At 46.7% G+C, this 25,537-nt stretch overlaps 2 annotated features.

The window, feature by feature from the left end:
• Nucleotides 2,430-2,687: a silencer, noted in NCBI's record as "fragment chr12:108076698-108076955 (GRCh37/hg19 assembly coordinates)". NCBI's record gives its function as "represses an EF-1alpha promoter that drives an FKBP-Casp9 reporter gene in an ReSE screen in K562 erythroleukemia cells {active_cell/tissue: K562}" and the evidence as "EXISTENCE:reporter gene assay evidence [ECO:0000049][PMID:32094911]".
• Nucleotides 24,878-25,378: an enhancer, noted in NCBI's record as "H3K4me1 hESC enhancer chr12:108054007-108054507 (GRCh37/hg19 assembly coordinates)". NCBI's record gives its function as "activates a minimal SCP1, AML or CMV promoter by ChIP-STARR-seq in naive H9 embryonic stem cells {active_cell/tissue: H9 hESC(naive)}" and the evidence as "EXISTENCE:reporter gene assay evidence [ECO:0000049][PMID:30033119]".

Genomic DNA, 25,537 nt, shown 5'->3' with positions numbered 1-25,537 from the left:
GATGCCTGCGGGCTTTGTAAAGGCCAAGAAAATATTTGGGACTGTAGGGGTCAGTCAGAAGCAAAGTTTCACCAATCTTTATTTTGCTTGCAGTTCCGTAGACTTCAAGCTGACAAATGGCAGAGGTTTGTGGTTTGCGTTTTTTAAAAAGCTTTCTCCAAAATGAATTTGTCGTTTCACGGAGATCCCACCATTACATCTCATTACATCCCTAAATGTTACTTTCTCACCTTAAAACATTTAGCACCAAAAAAAAAAGTGAGAAAAAAACATTTAGCACCAATTATATACTAACTATGCAGTAGTGATTTAGTCTTGGCAAACACAAAGGGCTTACTTATGTTGAAGGCGCTGTTTTGAGTGCCGTATCACGTGATTACTTACCCCTTTGTGGGAGGTCTTATTTCCGTTTTACACCTGGGAAAACAGCGATCCTTCCAAAGGTCACACTGCTAGTAAGCGGTGCAGCTGGGATATGAACCCGGGCAGTGTGACTCCCTTGTATCTATGTCATGCTTCTCAGCTAAGATCAGTCATCTGTTAGAACTCGTGAGTGGCTGGACGTTTGTAGAATGGAAAATCTCAAACTAGCATCCCAGAAAAATCTGGGTTTTGATCTCTTGGCTGTGTGGCCCTGTCCTGGTCATTTACCCTCAATGCATCTACCTCTGAGAGAGGCAAGCAAAAGAAACAGGAAGGTGGCTGCTATGGGGAAACAGTGGCAAGGATAAACTGGCAGTACACATGGTCTTTCCCAGTGGCATTGTCAAACGGGGGGTGTCCACCTGTGGGCTCTATTCGGGGACCTTTTTGCAACACATTTATCTTTCTATACAGTATTTTACTTGGTTCTCACAACACTTTGTTTTAAAGATGAAGCTAGAGTCCCCAGTAGTCAAATACTTTCCTACTCAGATCACACACAGAGGAGCTGATACAACTATGAGTTCTGTCACCAACTCTACTCAGCCTAATGCGCTTGGCAATCTCCCTGCCTGAGGAGAGATCCTCCCAGAAGTAAATTGCTCATTGTTTGTGTAGGCAGATTATTTGTCCATTAAGACTTCTCCCCCTGCTCTGTTTCTGTAAGATGATTCTTCTGTGGTTTCTTTGCTTTTAACCCATTTTAGAAAGACCATATGGCAGATAATATTTTTCAAGGATGGCTGCAACAATAGAGTCCTTCACACATGTTTGTCTGCAACGTGATCTTGATATTCCTCCATCAAAGCACCCCCCCCCGCCCCCACCAACTTGAATCTGGGTAGTTGTAGGTCTGCTTTGGCCAATAAAGTATGACAGAAATGATGTTTCCAAGGTTAAGTCATAAATAGGATGCAGGTTTTGCTTCCCCACCACCACACCCACTTCTCCACTTCCACACCCCCCACCCACTCCCCCACTGCCCACCAGTAGAACACTAATGTTTGGAGCCCTGAGCCACCATATAAAGTTTGGCTACTGTGGTAGTCTGTTCTCACACTGCTAATAAAGACATACCCAAGACATGATAATTTATAAAGAAAAAGAGGTTTAATGGACTCACAGTTTCAGTTGGCTGGGGAAGCCTCACAATCACTGCAGAAGGCAAAAGAGAAGAAAGGCATGTCTTACATGGCAGCAGGCAAGAAGAGAGCATGTGCAGGGGAACTCCCCTTTATAAAACTATCAGATCTCAGCTGGGTGCAGTGGCTCATGCCTGTAATCCCAGCACTTTGGGAGGCCGAGGCAGTTGGATTACAAGGTCAGGAGTTCTAGACAAGCCTGGCCAACGTAGTGAAACCCCGTCTCTACTAAAAATATAAAACTTAGCCGGGCATGGTGGTGCATACCTGTAGTCTCAGCTACTTGGGAGGCTGAGGCAGGAGAATCACCTGAACCCAGGAGGCGGAGGTTGCAGTAAGCCGAAATCGCACTGCTGCACTCCAGCCCGGGCAACAGATCAAGACTCTGTCTCAAAAAATAAAAATAAATAAAAATAAATTAATTAATTAATAAAACCATCAGATCTCATGAGACTTATTATCATGAGAAAAGCACAGGAAAACGCCGCCCGTATGATTCAATTACCTCTCACTGGGTCCCTCCTATAACACATGGGGATTATGACAATTCAAGGTGAGATTTGGGTAAGGACACAGATCCCAAACCATATCAGCTACCCTGAGTCCACTATGCTGTTAGGAAACCAAACCACATGGAGAGACCACATGTGGTACTCCAGTAGACAGTTGTAGTTTTTGAGTTAACCCAGACCTGTAAATGAAAGTGCCTTTAGGTGAATCCAGCTCCCAGACATTGATTCACTCCCAGCGTTTGAGCTTGCTCAGCTGAGACCCAGCCATCATGGAACAGAGACAAGACATCCCCACTGTGCCCTGCCCAAATTTCTGACCCCCAGAATTTGTGAGCTTAGTAAAAGATTGTTTCTAACCACTAACTTTAAAAGAAAAAATCCTTCCATAATTTTTATTATAGTAAAATATACATAACACAAAATTTGCCATTTTTAAAAAGAGACAGATTTAGGGTGGGCTCCGTGGCTCGGCCTAAATCCACTTTGCCCTCCTTTGAGAGGCCAGCACTTTGGGAGGCCAAGGCAGGAGGATCACTTGAGCCCAGGAGTTTGAGGCCGACCTGGAAAACAGCAAAATCTTGTCTCTACAAATAAAAAAATTAGCTGGGCATGGTGGTATGCACCTGTGGTCCCAGTGATGGCAGCAGCTGCTGCCATCATGCCAGCTACAGCAAGGAGGCACAGCTGGGGCTGCATGCTCCATGGAGCCAGTGGGAGCCCTGCCCCTTCTGAGTTGGGGCAGGAGCTCCCGGGGTACTGCTGCAGTCACCCAAACTGCAGCTGCAGACCCAGGCCTCCTGCTTTACAGAGCAGGCAGCAGCCACCCAAACTGCAGCTGTGGATCTGGGGCTCCCTGTGCTCTTGGTGGGAGTGGCGGGAGCAGGCAGGATCTGCCCTCCCAGGTGCAGCTGCAGCCGCCCGACCAGTGGCTGCAGACCTGGGCCTCCTGCTCCGCAGAGCAGGCAGGAGCTGGGGACAAGTGGGATCCCTGCCCCTCCCAAGTTGGCGGGGTGGGAACTCCCAGGGTGCAGCTGTGGCTGCCCTCTCAGGTGCAGGACTGGGCCATCTATATAGCCTGTGCCCTCAGGGGCCCGGGAAGGGCCCCCACAACTCTGTCACTCAGGGCTGTCTGCTTCTGCTGCCTGACTTCTCTCCTCTCTTGGAACCTGCTCAGATCTTGGAGCGGGCTTGGGGATGAGCGCCAGGGCCATGAATGGCATCAGGAGGCAAATAGATTCCTGGGCTGCGGTTCCCCAGTAAGGCCTGACCTTCAGACCAGGGAGGGCCTGAAAGCTGGGGGCCAGCTCCCAGTTCCGAGGTTGGGAGTAGGGACTCGTGGTACCTCTTCTGGGCTGCCAATGGCCACCCATGGACCAATCGGCATGTACTTCCTCCCCTCTGAGGTCCATAAAAGCCCGGTCTCAGCCAGAGCACGAGAGAGGATGGCCAGAGCAGGGCAGAGGACGCAGAGGATGTTGAGACTATGGGAGGATCAGCTGCAGAGAGCAGCTCTCCTCTGCTGATAGCTGGAGATGATACTACGACTTGCCAGCAGAGAGGAGCCACCCTCTCTAGGGCCTCCTGTCTGCTGACAGCTGAACACTCGATTGGCCGACCTACCTACAGAGAGGAGCTACCCACTGTGGGTCTTCTCTGAGCTGTTCTAACACTTAATAAAGTTTATCTTCAGCTTGTTCACCCTTCACTTGTCTGTGTTCCCCATTCGTCCTGGACTCAGGACAAGAACTCGGGCAAAGGTGCCACCTGCCACAGAGGTTTCTGGCCAGAAAATCGACACCTCAAAGATCCCATAACACCAGCTACTTGGGAGGCTGAGGTGGGAGGATTGTTTGAGACCAGGAGGTTGAGGCTGCAGTAAGCCATGATTGCATCACTGCACTCCAGCCTGGGTGACAGAGTGAGATCCTGTCTCAAAAAAGAAAAATAAAAAGTAAAAAAAAGAAAACCCTGAGTTGCAGGTTTGGTGCTCCCTTCTTGCAGAGTCCAATAACAAGAATGAGGTCTGGTATAAAAAAAGTAAACTTTGGCCGGGTGCAGTGGCTCACGCCTGTAATCCCAGCACTTTGGGAGGCCAAGGCCGGTGGATCACCTGAAGTCAGGAGTTTGAGAGCAGCCTGGTCAACACGGTGAAACCCTGTCTCTACTAAATACACAAAAACTAGCCAGGCGTGCTGGCACATGCCTGTAATCCCACCTACTTGGGAGGCTGAGGCAGGAGAATTGCTTGAACCTGGGAGGCGGAGGTTGCAGTGAGCCAAGATCGCACCATTGCTCTCCAGCCTGGGTGAAGAAGCAAGACTCTGTCTCAGAAAAAAAAGAAAAAAAAAAAGGACTTTTTATTCCAAAGCTAGCTAGCTTAAGGGAAGAAGTATAGGCTTCCTGCCTTAAGGTACCACTTCACTTCTGGGGCAGAAAGCTGGGGCTTTTAAAGGGGGATGTGGCATGAATGGCATGCATGGGAGGGGGCAGGCAAGTAGGGGCCAGGCAAGTAGGGGCCTATGTGACTTGCTTCAGTGCCTTAACTACCAGATGGTTGAGCTGGTGCTTCATGGGCAGAATTAAGTTGTAAAAATGGCGCTTGTCTCCAGATACTCTCCAGGTGAGAGAGTGTTTTGTAGGAGACACCCCATGGTTGTAAATTGACTGTTGTCTCTTGAGGCAGGCTCCTGGTGGGAGAAATTTCCACTCTGGAGCTTTTAAGCACATAGTTAGATAAGCTTGCCCTGTAGAGAGTATCTGGTGAAGGGAAGGTAAAACGTTATAATGGCATTTCTAAAGAGCTAAGTAGGAAGTGGGGAACAGGGGAAAAGGAGAAAAGAGAAAAGAATAATGAAATTTAAAAAATAACTCATTCTCTTAAAAAATGGGGGTGCCTGGTTACATTTCTGTCATCCAAGTTGGAGTGCAGTGGCATGATCATAACTCATTGCAGCCTCGAACTTAACCATTTTTAAGAGTATAGTTTAGTGGTAGTAAGTACTAAATTGCTGAGTTTTGAGGTCATCTTTTAATGCAGCAATAATAAAGCAGGTGAGAAATGTGCTGTATTTAGAATAGAGCGCATGAACTGATTTCTTAGCAGAGGCTGATGTATTAACCCCTGGCTAGGCTCACGTGGGCTCACCTTGTATACGGGAATGGGCTTAGGTTTGAGTATTTGACTCTAGGTCTTTTGCCCCCGTGGGTTGCCTTCTCATGAGCCAGCTTCTGCTCCATGATGGCCCAGTCCCTGTCAGGTTTGCTGTCACAACCAGCATGGTGCCTGGTGCAGGGTGGGCTCTTGATAAATCATAGTTGTTAAATGAGTGAATAAGTTAAATAACAGAAGGTAAGCTAGGACTCCAGTTATTTTGGGCTTGCTAAACTCAGCCTCTTTTACAGGACTTATTTCCGACATTCTGCCACTTCAGCCCAAGCTGTGAATTCCCTTTAAAAATGAAAATCCCATGGCAGCAGGTATGATTAATTCCTTATAATGAGAATTGAAAGAGATTGAGCTTAAGTAGCTCTGTTTCTAAGCCTGATTCTTAGGAACTGATGAACATATTTAAGTCAGAAAAGTCTCTTTGCCAGAGGCCAGAATAAATGTCGTTGGTGGCACGTTGGCTATTCTTAGTTAAGGGTCCCAGAGGATCGAATCCTGGGCCATGCCAGGCTCTTGTTATACCCTATAGCTCAGTGTCATCTGTACTGAGGCTCATAAACATTTTTTTCTAAATGGGCTTGAGTGCTGGGAAGGAAATGAAGCCTATGGTACCCTCCTCCCCCATTGCACGAGGCTCTGTTTCTTGCTCCTCCTCTAGCTGACCCTACAATATTAGCTGATAAGGAGTGGAAGGAATGATAGCTACCACTTACCAAGTGCTAGAGACTTATACCATGAATAGATTTGACAGTGACAAAATCAGGTGTACAAAAATGAAACTTGATTTTTCTAGAACTGAATTGGCATTTTCACAAGGACGAGAGCCGTGAGAGTCTTGTTACCACAGTATTGCCAACACCTGGCAGAGTGCCTGGCACAGCAAATGTCACTAAATATTCGTTGAATAAATGAATAATATTAGAGTTCTAAACTGAAGTTCAAATACATTAGGAAGGCTAGGCGTGGTGGCTCAAGCCTGTAATCCTGGCACTTTGGGAGGCCGAGGTGGGTAGATCACCTGAGGTCAAGAGTTTGAGACCAGGCTGGCCAGTGAAACCTTGTCTCTACTAAAAATACAAAAATTAACTGTGTGTGGTGGTATGCACTTGTAGTCCCAGCTACTTGGGAAGCTGAGGCAGGAGAATCACTTGAACCTGGAAGGCGGAGGTTGCAGTGAGCAGAGATCGATTGTGCCACTGCACTCCAGCCTGGGTGACAGAGCAAGACTCTGTCTCAAAAAAAAAAAAAAAAAAATCAGGAAACTTGCCCAGCGTCATAGAGTTAGCAATGGCAATATACTAACCCGACTCCTGAGATAGGATCCTGTCTGTCATGTGACACAAGTTTTCTGGTAGAGTTGTTCATCAATTCATTCATTCATTCGTTGGTCTGTCAGGACTCTATTGAATGCAATTGACAGCTAACCGACTCCATTTGCCTTGGGCAAGAAAGAGAATGTATATGCTTAGTAGCTCAAGAACCTACTGACATAAATAGCTTCAGACATAGCTGGATCTAGGGGCTGAAACCACTGTCATCAGGATTGGACCTCTCTTCTATATTTAGTTTCTGTCTTACAATCTGTTCACTTAACATTAAGCCATCAGGAGCTTCAGGCTTGATGCATCTTTACTACTTGCAACCTCGGCAGAAAAAGCACTTGCATTTCTCTCTACTTCTCTCTCATTTGCCTCTTCAGTTCTGGAATGATCACCAGTCACTGTGGTCAGGAGAAGGTGATGCTCTGCTCAGCAAAGCCTGAGCCTCATGCCCAGCCCTGGAGCCAGAGAGAGAATTAGCTGTACAGGGAACACAGAGTTGGCAGCAAGAATTCTCTGGAGGAAACTTGGGGTGCTGCTGTGAGGAGGCAAGAACTGTCACCCATGACATGCAACAATTGTTTTCTTTGCCATCTTTATGCAGGACAGTTTGGGAGACAGGGAGCTACAAAAATGAACATGACACAGCCCTTCCCTCTGAGGGCTCTGTATTCTAATATAGGATCAGAGGTTTATGGTCAAGGGAAAATTAAATAAGACATGCAAGCAAATGTGGTTGTGACAGCCTGATTGGTGACTGCTTCATCCTATTCACCGTCAAGTTGCTGGGTGACAGCTGAGGATTCTGACCATCTACCCTTTACCAGCAACTGCATTCCCTCAGTCCCCTCCTCCTTGATGCCACCACTATCACCACCTGTCAGAAAAACTCCTTTCCACAGACTTGGGTAGTTTTCTGCCCCCTCTAGCTTCTGTGTAACACCTCAGCGTTAAAGTGAAACTTCAACCCTATAAGCTTTCCAACTCAAGTTCTACCTTGGTTTTCTGCTCCAGTCTGTCTCCAGATGACCAGCTATGTGGTTCCAGGGTCACAATCCCAGAGGTGAGGCTATAGCAGTATGAATGAGGAGACAGGGAAGAGGGGTGACAGGGAGCCAGAAGATGCAGTCTTGCTGTGGGTGGTTGGTTAGGGAGGCACAGGGCGGTGGGTAGGGGCGTAGGATGATGAATGACATCATCTGACTTAGATTTCAGGTCATTCCAACTCCCGTGTGTGGAATGTGGGGGTGGGGATGGTGGGGTGGGCAGAGCGAATGTGGGGAGAACTATGAGGAGGTTATTGCAGTAATGAAGGGGCAGATGCCGGTGACTTGGACAAGAGTGTTGCCTGGCGGAATCAAGGGAAGTGGAGAAAGATGCCATCTCCTGATGGGAAGATCTGTCAAGAATTTGTGGCCACATTTAATCTACCACAGCTGAGGAGACTAACGAGAAGAAGGAGGTGACTGATCTAAGACCACACATCATCTAAGCGTCAAGATGGGGGACAGAGCCTGTGTTTTCCGTCTTCAGTCCTGTGTGGTTCCTTCCACACCCACGCCACCTCTTTTGGAAGGAAAGACAGAAATGCGTGCCCAGGGAAAAGTGAAAGGCTCCACCAAAGCCCTGGATATAATGAAATTAATCACATCCTTGCCATCGGAAACCCCACCTGATATGATGTGGCTGTGTCCCCACCCAAATCTCACCTTGAATTGTAGCTCCCATGATTCCCATGTGCTGTGGGAGGAACCTGGCGGGAGATAATTGAGATAATTGAATAATGGGGGTGGTTTCCCCCATACTGTTCTCATCATAGTGAATAAGTCTCATGAGATTTGATGATTTTATAAGGAGAAACCCCTTTCTCTTCATTCTCATTTTTGCTCTTGCCTGCTGCTCTGTTAGACGTGCCTTTCACCTTCCGCCGTGATTGTGAGGCCTCCCCAGCCACGTGGAACTGTGAGTCCACTAAACCTATTTTTCTTTATAAATTGCCCAGTCTCGGGTATGTCTTTATCAGCAGCATGATTCTGAGAGGACAGGGAAATGGACCAGACTGTTCATGAGAAGCAGAGGAAGGATGGGCTGGGCAAAGGTTTTGATCTCCCCATTTGTGATGCCAGAGGAGAAAGGAGGATCTGAGCATGGTTACTGCGCCCCTCGAGCCAGGCTTTGGCAGGCGTCAGTCACCATGTAGGGTCAGGCTGAGTGGACACCGGTCATATGTTTGTCTTCTCCACTAGATGGTCTTTTCCATCTTAGCATGCCCAGGGCCTGGGAGAGAGTACACGCCAAATAAATACTGGAAGAATAAATGGAAGATGACTTCTCAGACCTTGTTAAGGATGGGATGGTGTACTTGTTGCATGGCTGTGAGATTCATCACAGAAGCAAAGAATTTGTTGCCGGATGATAATTACAGCTCCTAAGTACTGCGTTTAGTGTTGAATTCCCATGCCTGGTATACAGAGTGGGTGCTGAGTAAATATTGAATGAATGAATGGTTGAGTGAAACTTCTCAATCCCTCACGTATGAGCCAGATTCATGCTCTTCAATAGAAAAAAAAATTAAATTCTTGGGAACCCAAGAATGCAGAAGTGTGGCTCCACCTAGTGGACACTCCAGGATTATGCCTGGAATTTTTTTTTTTTTTTTTTTTTTGAGAGTAGTTTAGCTCTTGTTGCCCAGGCTGGAGTGCAATGGCAGGATCTCAGCTCACTGCAACCTCTGCCTCCCGGGTTCAAGCGATTCTCCTGCCTCAGCCTCCCGAGTAGCTAGGATTACAGGCATGCGCCACCACACCCGGCTAATTTTGTATTTTTAGTAGAGACGGGGTTTCTCCATGTTGGTGAGGCTGGTCTTGAACTCCTGACTTCAGGTGATCTGCCTGCCTTGGCCTCCCAAAGTGCTGGGATGACAGGCTTGAGCCACCGCACCTGACCCTTTTTTTTTTTTTTTTTTTTTTTTTAAAACAGGGTCTGGCTCTGTCGTCCAGGCTGGAGTGCAGTCGTGTGATCCGCACTCACTGCAACCCTTTCCTCCTGGGCTCAAGAGCTCCTCCCACCTCAGCCTCCCGAGTAGCTGAGCCTACAGGTGCACACCAACATACCTGACTAATTTTTGTATATTTTGTAGAGACGGGTTTCCAACATGTTGCCCAGGCTAATCTTGAACTCCTGAGCTCAAGAATCTCCTGCCTCTGCCTTCCAAAGTGCTGGGATTACAGGCATGAGCCACCACACCTAGCCTATGCCTGGACCTTGAACATTTTTTTCCCACATGTTTTGTTCTGTGTCTTCTCCAGTTGTTCCTGCTTTACCCACTTTGCCACAGACCACCAAGTATGGCAGCGTGGCCCTGCAGGTGGGCAGAAGCCTATCTGGAGCCCTGAAATGGGCAAGAAGCTGTAGGGGGCAGAGTCGACTAGATGAGTTGGCTTAGAGCTGCCAATGCTATGCACAGGACATTGGACCAGGTGTGCTGAGGACTGTCAATAGTTTGCTGTGTGGCCCTGGGCAGCCCACTTTCTGTCTCTGAGCCTCACTTTTATTATCTAAGAAGGCGGAGGCTGAGATCAGACACAGCTGTGATGACTGAGCCCTTTCCTTGTGTCCTCAGGGCTAGTTCTCAGATTCCAACATAGCCTCGCTTGACTGGTGGGGACCATTAGGCTTTAGGTTAAAGTAGGGAGCCCAAGGCTTCACAGCTAATAAGGGTCAAAGCCTGGAATTGAACTTGGATCTGCTTGACTCCAATGCCTGAACCACTCTTTATAGACTTTCTGAAGCCTTTCTATGATTCTGCACATCTACTTGAGTCTGCCCCTCTCCTTATGAGAGGCTACATATGAAAATGGTAAGGGTGGTGGCCTCTGGAGCAGAACTTTCTCAGTTTGAATCCTTATTCTACTTACATACCTACTCCTGAGGTGTGTGACCTTGCGCAAGTCACTCAATCACTCTCCGTTTTGGTTTCCCCATCTGTAAAATAGGAAGATGACAACAAAATGTTGCTATAAAAGTTTACACATGGCACACACCTGTAATCCCAGCACTCTGGGAGGCCGAGGCAGGTGGATCGCCTGAGGTTGGGAGTATGAGACCAGCCTGGCCAACATGGTGAAACCCCGTCTCTACTAAAAATATAAAAATTAGCCGGGCGGGATGGCAGGCATCTGTAATTCCAGCTACTCAGGAGGCTGAAGCAGGAGAATCGCTTGAACCCAGGAGGCTGAGGTTGCAGTGAGCTGAGATTGCACCACTGCACTCCAGACTGGGTGACAGAGCGAGACTCCATCTCAAAATAATAATAATAATAATAATAAAAGTTTGAACACACGCACACATCACTTAGAATGCTACCCAACATATCCAGTTTTTATGTTTTAACTATACATAGTTATACGTATATGTATATAAACATGTAAGTACTTGTATGCTTTAACTATTATTTCCTGCCTCTGAACTTTTGTTGCTCCTTATGATATAGCCTCAAAAAGCTGTAAATTTTGATCTTTAATATTATTTCTAAGTAAGTATATTTATAGTTACAGAGACACACTGACAGGACCAAGGAAAAGAAAGCTTCCTTCAGGTTGTACCCTACTGTAAGGCAATCCTGTCTCTAGGGCACTGTGAATTAATACATAAATTGTATAAATATTGCAATTATATTGTGAATGGTACAAGTACATTGCATTCCATTGCTGGGGGGGGGGGTAAAAGGGATAATTTCTTATATGCAAATATTTATATATCTTATGTGCAAATATTTAAAATAAATAGAAATTTTTATAATCTTATTTTGGCCTCTTTTTGTACTTTTGTACTTTTTTTTTAGTAGATTCGGATTTCACCATGTTGGCCAGGCCGGTGTCAAGCTCCTGACCTCAAGTAATCCTCCTGCCTCGGCCTCCCAGAGTGCTGGGGTTACAGGTGTGAACCACCACACCCGACCTCTTTTTGCCCTTATAATTGGAGCCTCCAAAATGGATGTGACCTGGATTTCTCTTGACCTCCCAGAAGCCCTAATCTAGGCCAAAGTACCAGGATTGGAAGAAGCTAAAAACCCCAGAAATCCCTCTGAAGGGCCGAACTGTCAATACCTGAGCTCTGGTATCATAAGTTGCCCCGTGATGACACAGCCGAATGGGATTGGACTTGGCTCAATCTAGCTCATCCCAGAAGCTGTTCATGTTGCTTTTCCTGTGGTTGGAGAAACCATGGAGGAAGTGCTGGCCCCTATTCCTTCAATATTGCTGTGAATGTTCCTTTGCTTTGCAGTGAATGGAGGCTCAACCCCATCTCCCAGAACAGAGCTTCTTAACCTCAGCACTACTGACATTGGGACTGGAGAATTCTGGGTTGTAGAGACTGTCCCACACAGTGTAGGATGTCCAGCAGCATCCCTTGCCTCTGCCCAATAGTAGCAACCCATTGCCAGCTGTGACAACCAAACACGTCTCTAGACATTGCCAAATCTTCCCCAGTAGAGAACCACTGCCACAGAATAAATAGAAGGATTCATGAGGCAGGTAGTTTGCTAAACTTTGTCCAAGTAATGTGATTAGTCTCCCCTGGTCTGATACTTTAGCGAAGGCCGTGATGATGTTGTGTATAGTGGTAGTGGTGTTGGCGGGGAGAGGTTGGCCTTGTATTATCTGGATAATTGATCAGTCCTCCTTCATGCCATGTTGTAGACAGGACCACGGTCTCCTTTGGGTGAAAAGAAACACTTCTTTGTACTACTGAAAAAGTCATGTTTCATTAATATGATGACAGGGACATAACCTAAAGGCTGAAATCTTAGGAGTTTGGGGCATTCTGTAAAAATCGATTTCTTATTATTACTTTTATATTCTCAGAGGACATTTCTAAGGAAGACATTTCAAATTGTGACTTTTGCCCCCTAGATGTACCATTCAGAAGGCCCCCTTTAAGCTGTCTTAATGCATCTGGGCTGCTCTCACAAAAATGCCATAGACTGGGTGGCTTAAACAACAATTTATTTGTCATGGTTCTGGAGCTGGGAAGTCCAACATCAAGGCACCAGCAGATGAAGTATCTGGTGAGAGCCTGCTTCCTGGTTCATAGACTGCTGTCTTCTCACTGTGTCCTTACATGGCAGAAGGGGTGAGGGAGCTCTCTGGTGTCTCTTTTATAGGGGCACTAATCTCATTCATGTGGGCTACCCTGTCATGACTACGCATCTCCCAAACACCCTGTCTCTTAATACCATCACATTGATGATTATGAATTTTGGGGGAATACAGTCACTCAGTCTATAGCACAAGCCTTACAAAAACTTCCTTCTCTTGAATCCCTTTCTCTGCTCTTTCCCCTTAGTGGCCCATCTGTCCTACTTTGGGCACAAGCTGGTTTTGGCAAACCTCACACATGTGTATGTGCTTTTAGAAAAAGCCCTTAACCTTCTGTGTCATCATTCTCCAGAATGGAATGGTTTTTGTCTAATGATTGGTAAAGAAGCTATTCATAAAGTTGTCAGCAGAAACAGGTGGCTGGAAAGGATGATTGCTTGCACAGTGTTCTAAAGCTTTTTCACAGCGTTCCCCTGGTGAGAGACAGCAGGGTGAAAAAACATCTAATGGGTAAGGTAATTTAACAGAAATTCATAGCGGGTTTGAAAAACATCTCACACCTCTAGTGAGAGGAGAAATCATTGGCAATAGATGGGTGCACAAATGACTTTCAGAAAATGCCTCAGAGAACATGGAGTTCTTAAAATGACTTATTACAGATGAATACAAAGACATCTTAAGGATCTTACCTGAGTCCTGACCATATATATAGATGATCTTTTTTTTTTTTTTTTTTTTGAGAGTCTCGCTGTGTCATCCAGGCTGGAGTGCAGTGGTACGATCATGGCTCACTGCAGCCTCGACCTCTCAGGCTCAAGCAATCCTCCCCACTTCTCCCACTTCAGCTTCCCAAGTAGCTGGGACTACAGGTGTGCACCACCACACCCAGCTAATTTTTTATTCTTTTGTAGAGATGGGGTCTTACTATGTTATCCAGGCTTGTCCCAAACTCCTGGGTTGAAGTGATGCTCCCGCCTTGGCCTCCCAAAGGGCTAGGATTACAAGCATGAGGCACCATGCCTGGCCTAGATTGTCTTTTTTTTCAGGCATCATTTCAAGTATCCTCTGAGAGAGAGGAACAGAAGAACCTGATACCATTGCAGTGACCTGGGAGAACAGAGCAGTCCTTCTCAGACCTCAGTGTGCTCAGCACTGGGCCTCTGGTTAAAATGCAGATTCCATGTAGTAGGTCTGGAATCGAGGCTGACATTCTGCATTGCCAACAAACTCCCAATGATGCAGAAGCGACTGTCCGGCTCCACTTTGGAAAGCCAGGAAGTAGAGTACTTATTTGGGAAAAAGCTACAAATGCTCACACAGTTGGAGAAGCAGTGATCCAGCAGAGAAGTTACTTGACTTGCCCAAAGTTGCAAACAACAGTGAGAGTGAGTGAGATCTGTGGCTGGCGCTCCTGGTTCCTGAGCCCGTGTTCAAGTCTAGATTACGCTGTTTCCCTCATTCCAAGTACAAGGAGTAGCTGCTGCACTGTGACCTCCCCATTGGACAATGAAAGGATTTTACGCCCCACTTCAAGCTGCATCCTACCCAAATCTACCTAATGAGCCATTACCCTTCTTTAAAACAACTGTGTGACCAGACCACTTAGGAGTGTGGAGTGTGACCACTTAGGACTCCACACAATGAGCCAGAACCGTCCAACTCAAGGCTGGTGTTTCTGAAGGCTTGCACTGGGAGGAGCGCCCCCTGCCGCTCAGCCCTGAGTCCACAACCCCACCTGCACGTTGCTCAATGTCCTGACCTCCTGCTGTCTCAACATCAGAGCTATTTACCGATTTCCTCTCTTTGCTAAAACAACAACCACCACAACAACAAACTTCTCATGAACTGGGGTTTCTCAATCTGCCCTCGTACTTTTGCTCCCCAAGAATTCAGTGCTGTATGTACAGTGGGAAATGGAAACAATAGAACCATGTTTCAGCTGAAACTGGCACAGTTAAAAAAAAACACCAACCACGAAAAAACTAGAATGCCTACATAAGCTTGGGGATTTTTTCGTGCTTTATGCTTAAGACGCTTTTGAAAGGTTGCAGCTAAAAGTAAAATTTGTTTTGATAGCATTCTCAGCAACAGAAAGCAAATGAATCTCTTGTCCTCCCCATGGAAGTAAAAAGAAGGAGCCCAGTTGCTGCTCTGGAGAAAGTGGCCATGGAATTTACCTTCTCTGTCCTTAGAATGAAAGGCCTCAAAGCAGCCTTCGTTTGCAGGCTTTGCAGGACTTTGCTGATGTAAAAAGCCTTAGAAGCCGTTGAGTCTTTGAAGTCTTTCTTGGCTCTAACAGGAGGCTAAAAGCCAAGTCTCTCGAATTCGGCTTGTTCCCTGGGCCTGGAAAGAGACTGAAATCCATCTTGGTGGCCACCCAACCACACCTGCTCCACCACACCCTGCGATAACAGAGTGAGACCCGGAGGCCAGGAGATGCCTTTTGGGGGTGTGTCCTTGGTAAGTGAGGCGCATCACTGAGTGACTGTTTGGGGTGAAATCAGCCTTTAGGGAACATTTCTCAGATACTTTTCTTGCTTTACCAAACAAGGCTGAGCATCCAGGTTGGTGGGACCTCGGCCCAATAAAAGCCAAAAATCCGAGTTAGTGTATTAGTACAGAGAAAAACAAAGTGAGTATAAAGAAAAAAGTATTTAAAAAATCTGAGTTAGGAAAGGTGCAGGCTCAGATAAAAGACACAAAATGGGCCAGTCACATCTCCTTCTGGACCCAGTGCCCAGCTGAGCTTGACCATGACAATCAGTAACCGTGGACCTGCCTGCCAGAGGCGCCCGGCTGTCCTGGGGTGGTGGGTCCTCAGTGGCCGTCCGTCCCCACTCCTGCCACCTCATGTCACGCCAAGAGTTGGCTTGGCAGCAACTAAGTCCCCCAAGCTGTGTCTGTGTGTCAAGGAGCACCTTGAGGGACCCTGTCTCCCACATCTCTGTGTCCGCTCTGTGTCCTCTCTGTGTCCTCAGTCCCATTAAACATTGGTCCATCTACATTGAATCCTCACGCCACCCAATACTTCTTTCTCCCCCAAACAATACTCACCAAAAAAAAGACATCCAGAACAAGTAGACCTGTCATCACACCACATCACAGATACACATGACTAACATTTGTCTTAGCCCAGAAAGCTCTTTCTTCCTCCTTCTCTCTTTTTTTTTTTTTGTCTTAGAGACAGGGTCTCACTATGTTGCCCAGGCTGGCCTCGAACTCCTGGGCTGAAGTGAATCTCTTGCTTCAGCCTCCCAATATCTCAGACTACAGGCATATGCCCCCACACCCAGCTGATCATATTTATTATTATTATTATTTTTTGAGACAGGGTCTCATTCTGTCACTCACCCTGGCATGATCTTGGCTCACTGCAACCTCCACCTCCTGGGCTCAAGCCTCCTGAGTAGCTGGGTCTATAGGCACCCACGATGATGCCCGGCCAATTTTTTTTTTTTTTGGTAGAGACGGGGTGTCACTTTGTTGCCCAGGTTGGTCTCAAACTCCTGGGCTCAAGCAATCCGCCTGCCTCGGCTTCCCAAAGTGCTGAGATTACAGATATGAGCACTGTGCCTGGCTTGATCATATTTTTCAAAGCAGTGGAGAGGAGAGAAGCATCTTATTCTCTCCCCTCTCTCTTTAGAGGAGGCATTGTAACTGAAGAGGCACCACAAAGAGTTGGGCTTAGAGGTCAGGTCAGCCTAGGTCCACATTCCCTCTCTGCCACTTTTTAGCCTTGTTGCCTCCACCTCAGTTTCCCTATCTGTAAAAATGGGAATCAAAATTCTTACCATATAGGATTTATTATGAGAAGGAAGATAAAGGCATATAAAGATGAGCACAAAATATAAAGGAATGGAAAAGAACAGCCTCCCATGTACTGAAAATCGTCCATGATGTTTCAGTCACATAGAGGCATCTCCGATGCAGCACACAGAGGCATGGCATTCAGGCATCATTTCCACTGCCTCTGGGATGAAATGTGACAACTGGCTGACAGTCACATAGTCACATTCCCTCCCGAAGAGCTCAGAGCAGGAGATGAACAAAATGCTGGGGTCCTCGGGGACTCTGGGGAATGAGGCTGTCAAGAGAGTGCCGTGAATCAAACTGGAGCCTGGTGGATGAATCCTCATACTCCAGAGTAGACTAAGAGTGCAGCCAGTAGACTGCCTCAGGCTGATGGCTTACAGAGCCACTGCTGGCCTTTGGGGACCTGAGGCTGCTGGGGAGGTGAAATTAACCAACCCATGATAAAATCGGAGGTGGCCATGTCCAGGGCACAGAAAATCCCTCTCTTCCCTCTTGCTTCTCCCTGCATTTTGACAGAGCTGTCCCTTACCACCATTGCTGCAAGAGTGCCTCTCCATCACCTGTCATGTTAATGTAATGACATTCCCATTCTGCAGGAGGGAAGACTGAGGCGGACAGGAGACCTCACTCACCAGCCACTTATGCCAAACCAATGCATGACTCATGGTTTTTCTTTGTTGAGTCCAGTTTAAAAAATGCATATGAGATGTGGTGGACGTGTGCAAATTCACATACCTGGATTTCATCCCACTCTCAAAAATGGCCCTTCCCTAACTTGATCGTTTTGCTGAAATGCATTTTTTTCTTTATAAAAAGAAGTTCTATTTTTCAGTGACCGAATTGCTTCTAGCTACTTTTTCCCTTCCCAGCTGGTAAGGTTTTGTGGACAATTTTTCTTCCTTCTGTATTAGATAAGTAAGAATAATGAATTGATCCGCTGCCTCACAACCTGATGAAGATAAATAGGGTGGCGTGCTGAAATAAAATGCAGCAGTGGCCAAAAAATGAAGGCTGGGAGGTCATTACAAATTCTACGTAAGCTATATCAAGATTGATATTCATTTTCTGAGGCCAGATGATGTGTATCAGAAGGAGAGAACTAGTAACGACAACACCCCTGAGTTGTCAGGAACCTTTAAATTCTACACTCCCTTTATTGCTTGAATCTCTATCGAGGGGTTGGCTAGCATTTTCTGGAATGGCTCCTGTCATGGAGAACTCACTACTACCTCCTCATTCCATCTTTGAAAAGCTTTGCTCTGACTGTTAAGAGTTCTTATTTATACTTAGGTGAAATCTAAATCCTTGAAGGGTCTGTCGCTGGGACAGCTCTTATCCTTTTTATGATACTGAACAAGCTAGTTCCTTTCTTTTCTTTTCTTTCTTTTCGATGGGGGTCTTGCTCTATTGCCCAGGCTGGGGTGCAGTGGCATGATCGCTGCTGACTGCAGCCTCTACCTCCCAGGCTCAAGTGATCCTCCCACTTCAGCCTCCAGAGTAGCTGGGACTACAGGCATGAACCGCTGCACCTGGCTAATGTTTTTAAAATTTTCTGCAGAGATGGGGTCATACTGTGTTGTCCAGGCCAGTCTTGAACTCCTAGAAACAAGCAAACTTCCTGCCTCAGCCTCCCAAAATGTTGGTATTACAGGCAGGAGCCACCACACTCAGCCCGATTCCTCTTATCTATGAAGCCTGTTCTGCTATTTGAAGACAACTAAAATTAAGATGGTCACCTAAGTATTCTCTCCTACAGGCCAAACATCCCAGTTCCTTTGGCTGTTCTTTTTTTTTTTCTTTTTGAGTCTCGTTCTGTCACTCAGGCTGGAGTGCAGCGGCATGATCTCAGCTCACTGCAACCTCCGCCTCCTGGGTTCAAATGATTCTCATGCCTCAGCCTCCTGAGTAGCTGGGATTCCAGGTGCCCACCACCACACCTGGCTAGTTTTTGTATTAGTATTTTGTTTTTTTGTATTAGTAGAAATGGGGTTTCATCATGTTAGCCAAGCTGGTCTCAAACTCCTGACCTCAAGTGATCCACCCACCTCGGCCTCCCAAAGTGCTGGGATTACAGGCATGAGCCACCACGTCTGGCCCCTTTGGCTGTTCTTTCACCTTTGGTTACTCCCTTCTGATGAGGCTGCATTTTCTCTGTGACTTTCGTCAAGCACAGGGGCCATTTGTCATGTTCATGGCTACCCACCATCTTTCTATATTTGTAGAAATCACACAGTAGATTTCCTATCTCCCTAATGTAGTGGCAAGAACTGAAACTGCCAGCCTCCCTACAGCTAAGGTGCAGGCATGGGACCTAGGTTCTGCCTGTCAGATGTGGATGTACCCAGTGAAATTTTGATACTAAAGGGCCAACATGAGGAGATGGGAGCTTCCATTATGTAGTGCAAGTAGAGGCAGAAGCACTGAGCTTTTTCGGGTCGGCTGAGTTCCTGATGTAGGAATGACACTGGTGCTTGTGGAAAGAGCAGTCACTGAAGCCAAGTTTCTGGGAGCTACAGAAATGCCGTTAGTGATTTCTGCCTCCATATCATTTGGTGGAAGCAGTGGCAGCAATGAAGACAACTAAAATTAAGATGGTCACCCAAGTCTTCCCTCCTACAGGCCAAACATCCCAGTTCCTTTGGCTGTTCTTTTTTTTTCTTTTTGAGTCTCACTCTGTCACTCTGTCGTGGTTTGTAAGTTATTCCAAAAGGCTCTGCCTTTAATAGTTTCTCCAGCCTTCCCAACAACTGTGTAATCCTCTAATAGTTTCGAATAAACCCTCTTTCTTCTTAAATGAACCAGAGTTGCTTGCTGCTAGAAACCTTGACTCATACAGGACATGACCTGAGTGCATAATTCCAGCAGAGAGCCCTCCAGTGCACAGAGGAGCACCATCACCTCCATCATTCTAGCAATCATGCTTCTATTAATGTAGCCCACAGCTACATTATGGGCTTCTAAGCAGCCACATTATGCAGCTGACTTACATTAAACTCACTGGTCACCTGAAATCCTCACATTTTAGGGGCAAGGAATCATTCCTTGGCTCAAGGAATTTCTAGAAAAAACAGACTTCATTTACTTTCTCATTACTTATTCAACAGAAAACACTATCTGAGCTTTTCCCTTCCTCAAACAAAATATTTAATGTATGAAAGCAAGTCCTTTGAAGTGCCAAAAATGCAGTCGTTCCCTTCACAAGTAAACAAAATAATGAGTAATTATGGATTAAAATCCTACCACTTTTTCTTCTTCCCCACCCACTCATTCCCCATAGCATACAACTGAGAAGTATCAGGGTCACCCAGCAGCCATTTTGAACCAGATACTCCAGCGTCCCTCTCCATTATCAAAGTGTTGTGAAGTGAACAGGGAAGGGGCAGCAGCTTTGATTATTCCCTTGTTGATTCTCCTGGGTGTCCCTGCCACCCCAGGGGGCTCTGTGAGTGCAGAGAGAAGCCTCGAAGCATAGTCTGAAAATAAACAGGAATCTTTTCTTTTCCTTCTGCCGCCAACCCTGAAGGAAACAGGACAAAGAAAAGGGATGAGGTCACCTTTGGTTACCTTTGGTTAATGCCATTGCACAGGAGTGGGTCTCTCATTTATATTAGGGCATCAGTAAATACCCGTGAAATAAATAAACTTGATTTAGATAAACAACAGACCAGGGAAAAGTAAGGTAGAGTGAGGTTATGTGTGAGTAATTCCTTAGCTTAATTCAGACTGTTAGAGCCCTCCACCTAGGAAGACAGGATTACATTTATTTATTTTTAAAATTATACTTTAAGTTCTAGGGTACACGTGCAGAACATGCAGGTTCGTTACATAGGTACACATGTGCCATGTTGGTGTGCTGCACCCATTAACTTGTCATTTACATTAGGTATATCTCCTAATGCTATCCCTCCCCCCTCCCCCCACCCCACGACAGGCCCCAGTGTCTGATGTTCTCCTTCCTGTGATTTGCTGCACCCATCAACCTGTCATCTAGGTTTTAAGCCCCGAATGCATTAGATATTTGTCCTAATGCTTTCCCTCCCCTTGCTCCCACCCCCCGACAGGCCCTGGTGTGTGATGTTCCCTTTGCTGTGTCCATGTGTTCTCATTGTTCATCTCTCACTTATGAGTGAGAACATGCGGTGTTTGGTTTTGGAAGATAGAATTTCAAATGATTTTTTTTCAGATGCATTGTGAAAACGTCTCCCCTGGGTCAGAAAGAAAGGCTCGTAATAACCCTCAAGGTTGAGACTCCAGAAAGGCCAGGTGACAGAACAAGTGTCACAGGTTGGCCTGGCAGCAGAAAGGGTTTGAGATGAATCTCTGACTTCCAGACTGCACACCTTTGCTACTCAAAGTGAGGTCCCTGGACCAGCAGCAGCAGCAGCAGCGCTGGGATGCTTGTTAGAAACAATGAATTTCAAGCCCCACCCCAGCCCCATGGAGTCATTTTAACAAATTCGAGAAGCACTGCCCTACACCATCAGTGAGATGTCTAGAAGTCATCAATTACAGAAAGACCTAGTTTGGGAGCAGCCTGGACAACATAGTATGACCTAATCTCTACAAAAAATAAAAAAATTAGCCAGGCGTGGAGGCTTCCACCTGTGGCTACTCTGGAGGCTGAGGTTGGAGGATAGCTTGAGCCTGGGGAGGTTGAGGCTGCAGTGAGCCGTGACCACGCCACTGTAATCCAGCCTGGGTGACAGAGAAAGCCCCTGTCTCTCTCTGGTTAAAAGGTGACAGGATACCGGGGAATGCTACTCATCAATGAAAAGGAACAAGCATTCCATACGTGCAGGCTCCTTGGATGGGTCTCTGAGGCATTCTGCTGGGTGCAAAAAGCCAGTCTCGCCGTTTGAGGTGCTAACACCCGTAATCCCAGCATTTTGGGAGGCTGAGGCAGACAGATTGCTTGAGCTCGGGAGTTTGAGACCAGTCCTGGCAACATAGCGAGACCCTGTCTCTACAGAAAATTTTTTTAAAAAGTGATCTGGTAGTGGTGGTGCATGCCTGTTGTCCCGCTACTCAGGATACTGAGGTGGGAGGATTGCTTGAGCCCAGGAGTTTGACACCAGCCTGGGCAACATGGTAAAATCCCTATCTCTACAAAAATAAATAAATAAATAAATAAAAATTAGCTGGGCATGGTGGCTCATGTCTGTGGTTCCAGCTACTTGGGAGACTGAGTCGGGAGGATTCTTGAGCCTGGGAGGCGGAGGTTGCAGTGAGTTGAAATCACACCACTGCACTCCAGCCTGCGCGACAGAATGAAACCGTGTGTCAATAATAATAATAATAATAAAAACACCAATCTCCAAAGGCTGCTTACTATATGGTCTCATTTACATAACATTCTTGAAATAACAAAACTATAGAGATGGAAAACAGATTAATGGTTGCCAGGGGTTTGGGATGAAGTTGGTGGAGGAAGGGCCAGAGTGATTCCAAAGGGGTAGCATGAGGGAGATCTTTGCGGTGAGGGAAGAGTGACAGTGGTGGTGGTTACACGAATCCACACGTGGCAAGATGTCACAGAACCATACACACACATTGTAGCGATGTCAACTTCCTGGTTTGGATATTGTACTAAATTTATCTAAGATGTTACCATTGGGTTACTCTGTACTATCTTTGCAACTTCCTGCGAATCTGTAATTGTTTCAAAATAAAAAGTGAAAAAAAAAAACCCCAAACCAAAAAGGAGATGGTAGTCATGTAGCAATGATCTAGAGAGATGCCATCTTCATGGTGAGATAGGTGAAGCCTCATTCTAACGCTTTTATCTGGTTTCCTGCTGGGAGCCTGTTTTGCTGAAGGCATCATTGTGAAATGATGAAAAAGGTCCCTTTTGCTAAATCCTCCTGGATGCAATCTGGAATGTTCTATTACACAAAATGATGTTCTCACAAGGTTCTAATATAGGAGTGTGGTAAGGAGAGTGTGACAGGTTCCAGTCTAGGCCCACAGGACATCAAGTCAGAAGGAGTTGAGGAAACAGGTCCAGATGGAGAAGAGGCCTGGCCAAGGTCACCCAGGTAGCAGATGACAGATTCAGGGTCAGGGGTGAGATGTGGTGCCCAGCACAGAGCCCCTCCATTGTACCAATCAGCCTCTTCCCTTTGTAGCTCTTCATCCCAGAGGTTTTCCGTAGCATTAAAATTCAGAACTCATCTGAAGGTTAGCTCTGAAAAGCAACATCCAAAGAACGCACCAATGACATCAGGGCATGTCTTCTAATTGCCTATTCACGCAGACAGATTGTCTTTTCAGATTCAGGGCTAAACTTGGAGATGTGTCCTTTCACAGGGCACTCGTTATCTGCCTGCCTCATCAGTGATGGGAACTAAAGCGCAATGTGATTGCTGAGTATGAGTTCTATTTTTTTCTGCCAAGCAGGAAGTTCAAAATCTGTTGGGTTATTTTTAAAGAGGGTGGAAAAAATAGGCATCATAGCAGCTTCTGCAATGGCCCCGGCCAAAGGCACGTGCTGCTTTATTCAAGGCATTGGCTAGGCTGGGAGGAACAGAGGTGACGTGAAGTTCCACCAGGGAGGTTTCTTGGTGGAGGGGTGGGGGATGAGTGTCCACACACTCAAGTGGCAGCACAGGGCATATGGGTTTGCCTACTAACTTGATGAGGACAGCAGTCCCAGATTTTTCTGGAGGGATATCTAGCAGTTTGTTTCATTTGGGGGTTTGTGGCTACCCTCTCCCTCTCCACAGAGCTGTGGTCCTCAAGCCCTGGACTGAGAGTTGGCTCTGGCGGGCGTGGGCCCTGCTCAGCCATTTGTGGGGTCTTGGACCTTAGACACACACCATGGGAGTCTCGTGTCATCCAAGTCACACATGTGAATCTCACATTCCTGTGTAGACAAGAAATTTGGAAGAGTGAATCCCTGCAACTCTAATCTTTTGAAAATATGATGTTTATAAGAAAGGAAATCCAGGTGTACTTGGCTTCCATTTGCAAACATTTCTTGATTACTTTGTGTGAAGCACTGTGCTAGGAACTAGAATCACAAAAGAGCTCAGTTTGGGGGGAATTTCCCTATACTCCTCGGAATAAGTAGCAAAACCCTAGAGAATCACAAATCACCATGGGAACCGCTGCTGTAGAAAGTTCTAGAAATGAAGGCAAAGTCATTAGCCTTCCTTTCCTTGTATGAATCATCAATTTCCCCTTCCTTCTGCTCAGTCTTAGAAGTTTAGAAAAGCCTTTTCCCTGCTACTAACAGTGTGGGACTCGTACAAAATATCTCCTTTAATCCTCCCAACACCACTATTCACTAGTTATAGGTTTTTGTTTTTTGTTTTTTTTCCTTTTTGAGACGGAGTCTTGCTCTGTTGCCCAGGCTGGAGTGCAGTGGCACAATCTTGGTTCACTGCAACCTCTGCCTCCCAGGTTCAACCGATTCTCCTGCCTCAGCCTCCTGAGTAGCTGGGATTGCAGGTGCCTGCCACCACGCCCCGTTAATTTTTGTATTTTTTAGTAGAGATGGGGTTTTGCCATGTTGGCCAGGCTGGTCTTGAACTGCTGATCTCAAGTGATCTGCCCACCTTGGCCTCCCAAAGTGTTGAGATTACAGGCGTGAGCCACAGCGGCCGGCCACTAGTTATAGTTAAACCCATTTTTTTTTTTTTGAAAGAGGAAGGTGAATACTAGATAGAGTAAGTAACTTGTCCAAAGTCTCAAAGCTAGTCAGGGGTTGGATCCAGTTGGAACAGGGTTTTCACGTCTGTGCTGGAGTCCAGGGCTCAGCAATCAGTGCTGCCAACAGAAGGTGCGCAATAGATGTCTCCCTGAGTGGAGAAACCCAGGAAACTGCTGGCCTTGGAGACTGTGTAGGGGCTAGGCAGAAAGAACTAGAAGCGGGAGGATGTGAGCACTTCTGCGACTATTCATTCGTCTGTGACTGAAGGTGGGGGTGGAGGGAGGTGGGTGCTGAATTCTGAAGGCAGAGGACCCAAGACTCGTGAAATAGATTTTCTCAAAGAACCCTTTATCCGCACAGTCTGATGTTGGCAAAACACTGTGTGATGAAAGTCTTGGTATGACAACATACAGTCGGATAGCACTTTTTGCCAAGGGCTTTACAGGAAGAAACAATGTGAGATCCAAAAGCAGAATCGCAGAACGGGGAACACAGAACAAAAGCAGAATCACAGAATCTCAGTGCAGAGGAGGTCCCAGAGCTCCTCCTCCAACCCCGCCCCCATGCCTGACTGCATCGTCTTCTGGTTTCTGCCTGGGCATCTCCATGATGGGAGCTCACATCCTGATGTTCATTTTGAGTGGATTCTCCTTCTTTTGAGGAGAATGAATGATATCCAGGTATGGTATATGTAAGACCAATGGCCATGGGGGTGGGCACAGAAGCTAAGTCATGTCCTTGTGTTTCTTGGGGGCGGCTGCACGTACACAATCCTTCCGGTGTCCCATGGCAAATAGAAGGGGTGGAGAGAACTTGTGGCAGGCAGCCCCCCACCGCCCCCCGCGCTTTCCTCTACACCCTAAGATGCTAATGGGCCCTTGTACGGACTTTGCTGAGGCGTGAATGTCAAAGCCACCTGTCAGACAAGTAAAAGGCAAATGGGGTAGCATGCACTTTATCATTCTAAAAGCAATACATCAAAAATGCCTACTCACCGTGAGGCTACACCGAGGGTGACACACAGTCAAAAGTAAAACGACCTTCTGCTTTCCTGGCCTGACTCACAGTTCTGGCCCCTGGCACTTGGTTGCTTCCTAAAGAAGGAACAGACCTGGATTGCTAAGCGGGCTTGAGCAGTCATTTCCGGGAGGTGGGGCAATGTGAGCTCTCTACCGGGCCTCAATGGCCCAGGTCTCCCAGGGCTGGCTGGGCCTCTCCCCTGACCTGCTTGTAGGTTTTTGTGGATTGGCCAGGGGGATTTATCTGCACACATGCCTGGGTTGGGCCCAGGCTGGGTCAGGAGCCACAGCACAGCTGCTGGGGACTTGGTTTGACCTCAGCAATGATGACACCCAAGAAGAGAGCTGCCTGCCCCTCCATGACCCCCACCCCCATCCCATAATGCTGCCA

The sequence above is a fragment of the Homo sapiens genome, chromosome 12 (genome assembly GCF_000001405.40).
Source record: "Homo sapiens chromosome 12, GRCh38.p14 Primary Assembly".
NCBI classification, from domain to species: Eukaryota; Metazoa; Chordata; class Mammalia; order Primates; family Hominidae; genus Homo; species Homo sapiens.
Note: the sequence above shows the minus strand (reverse complement) of the source record. Positions and strands in the feature narration are given on the sequence as shown.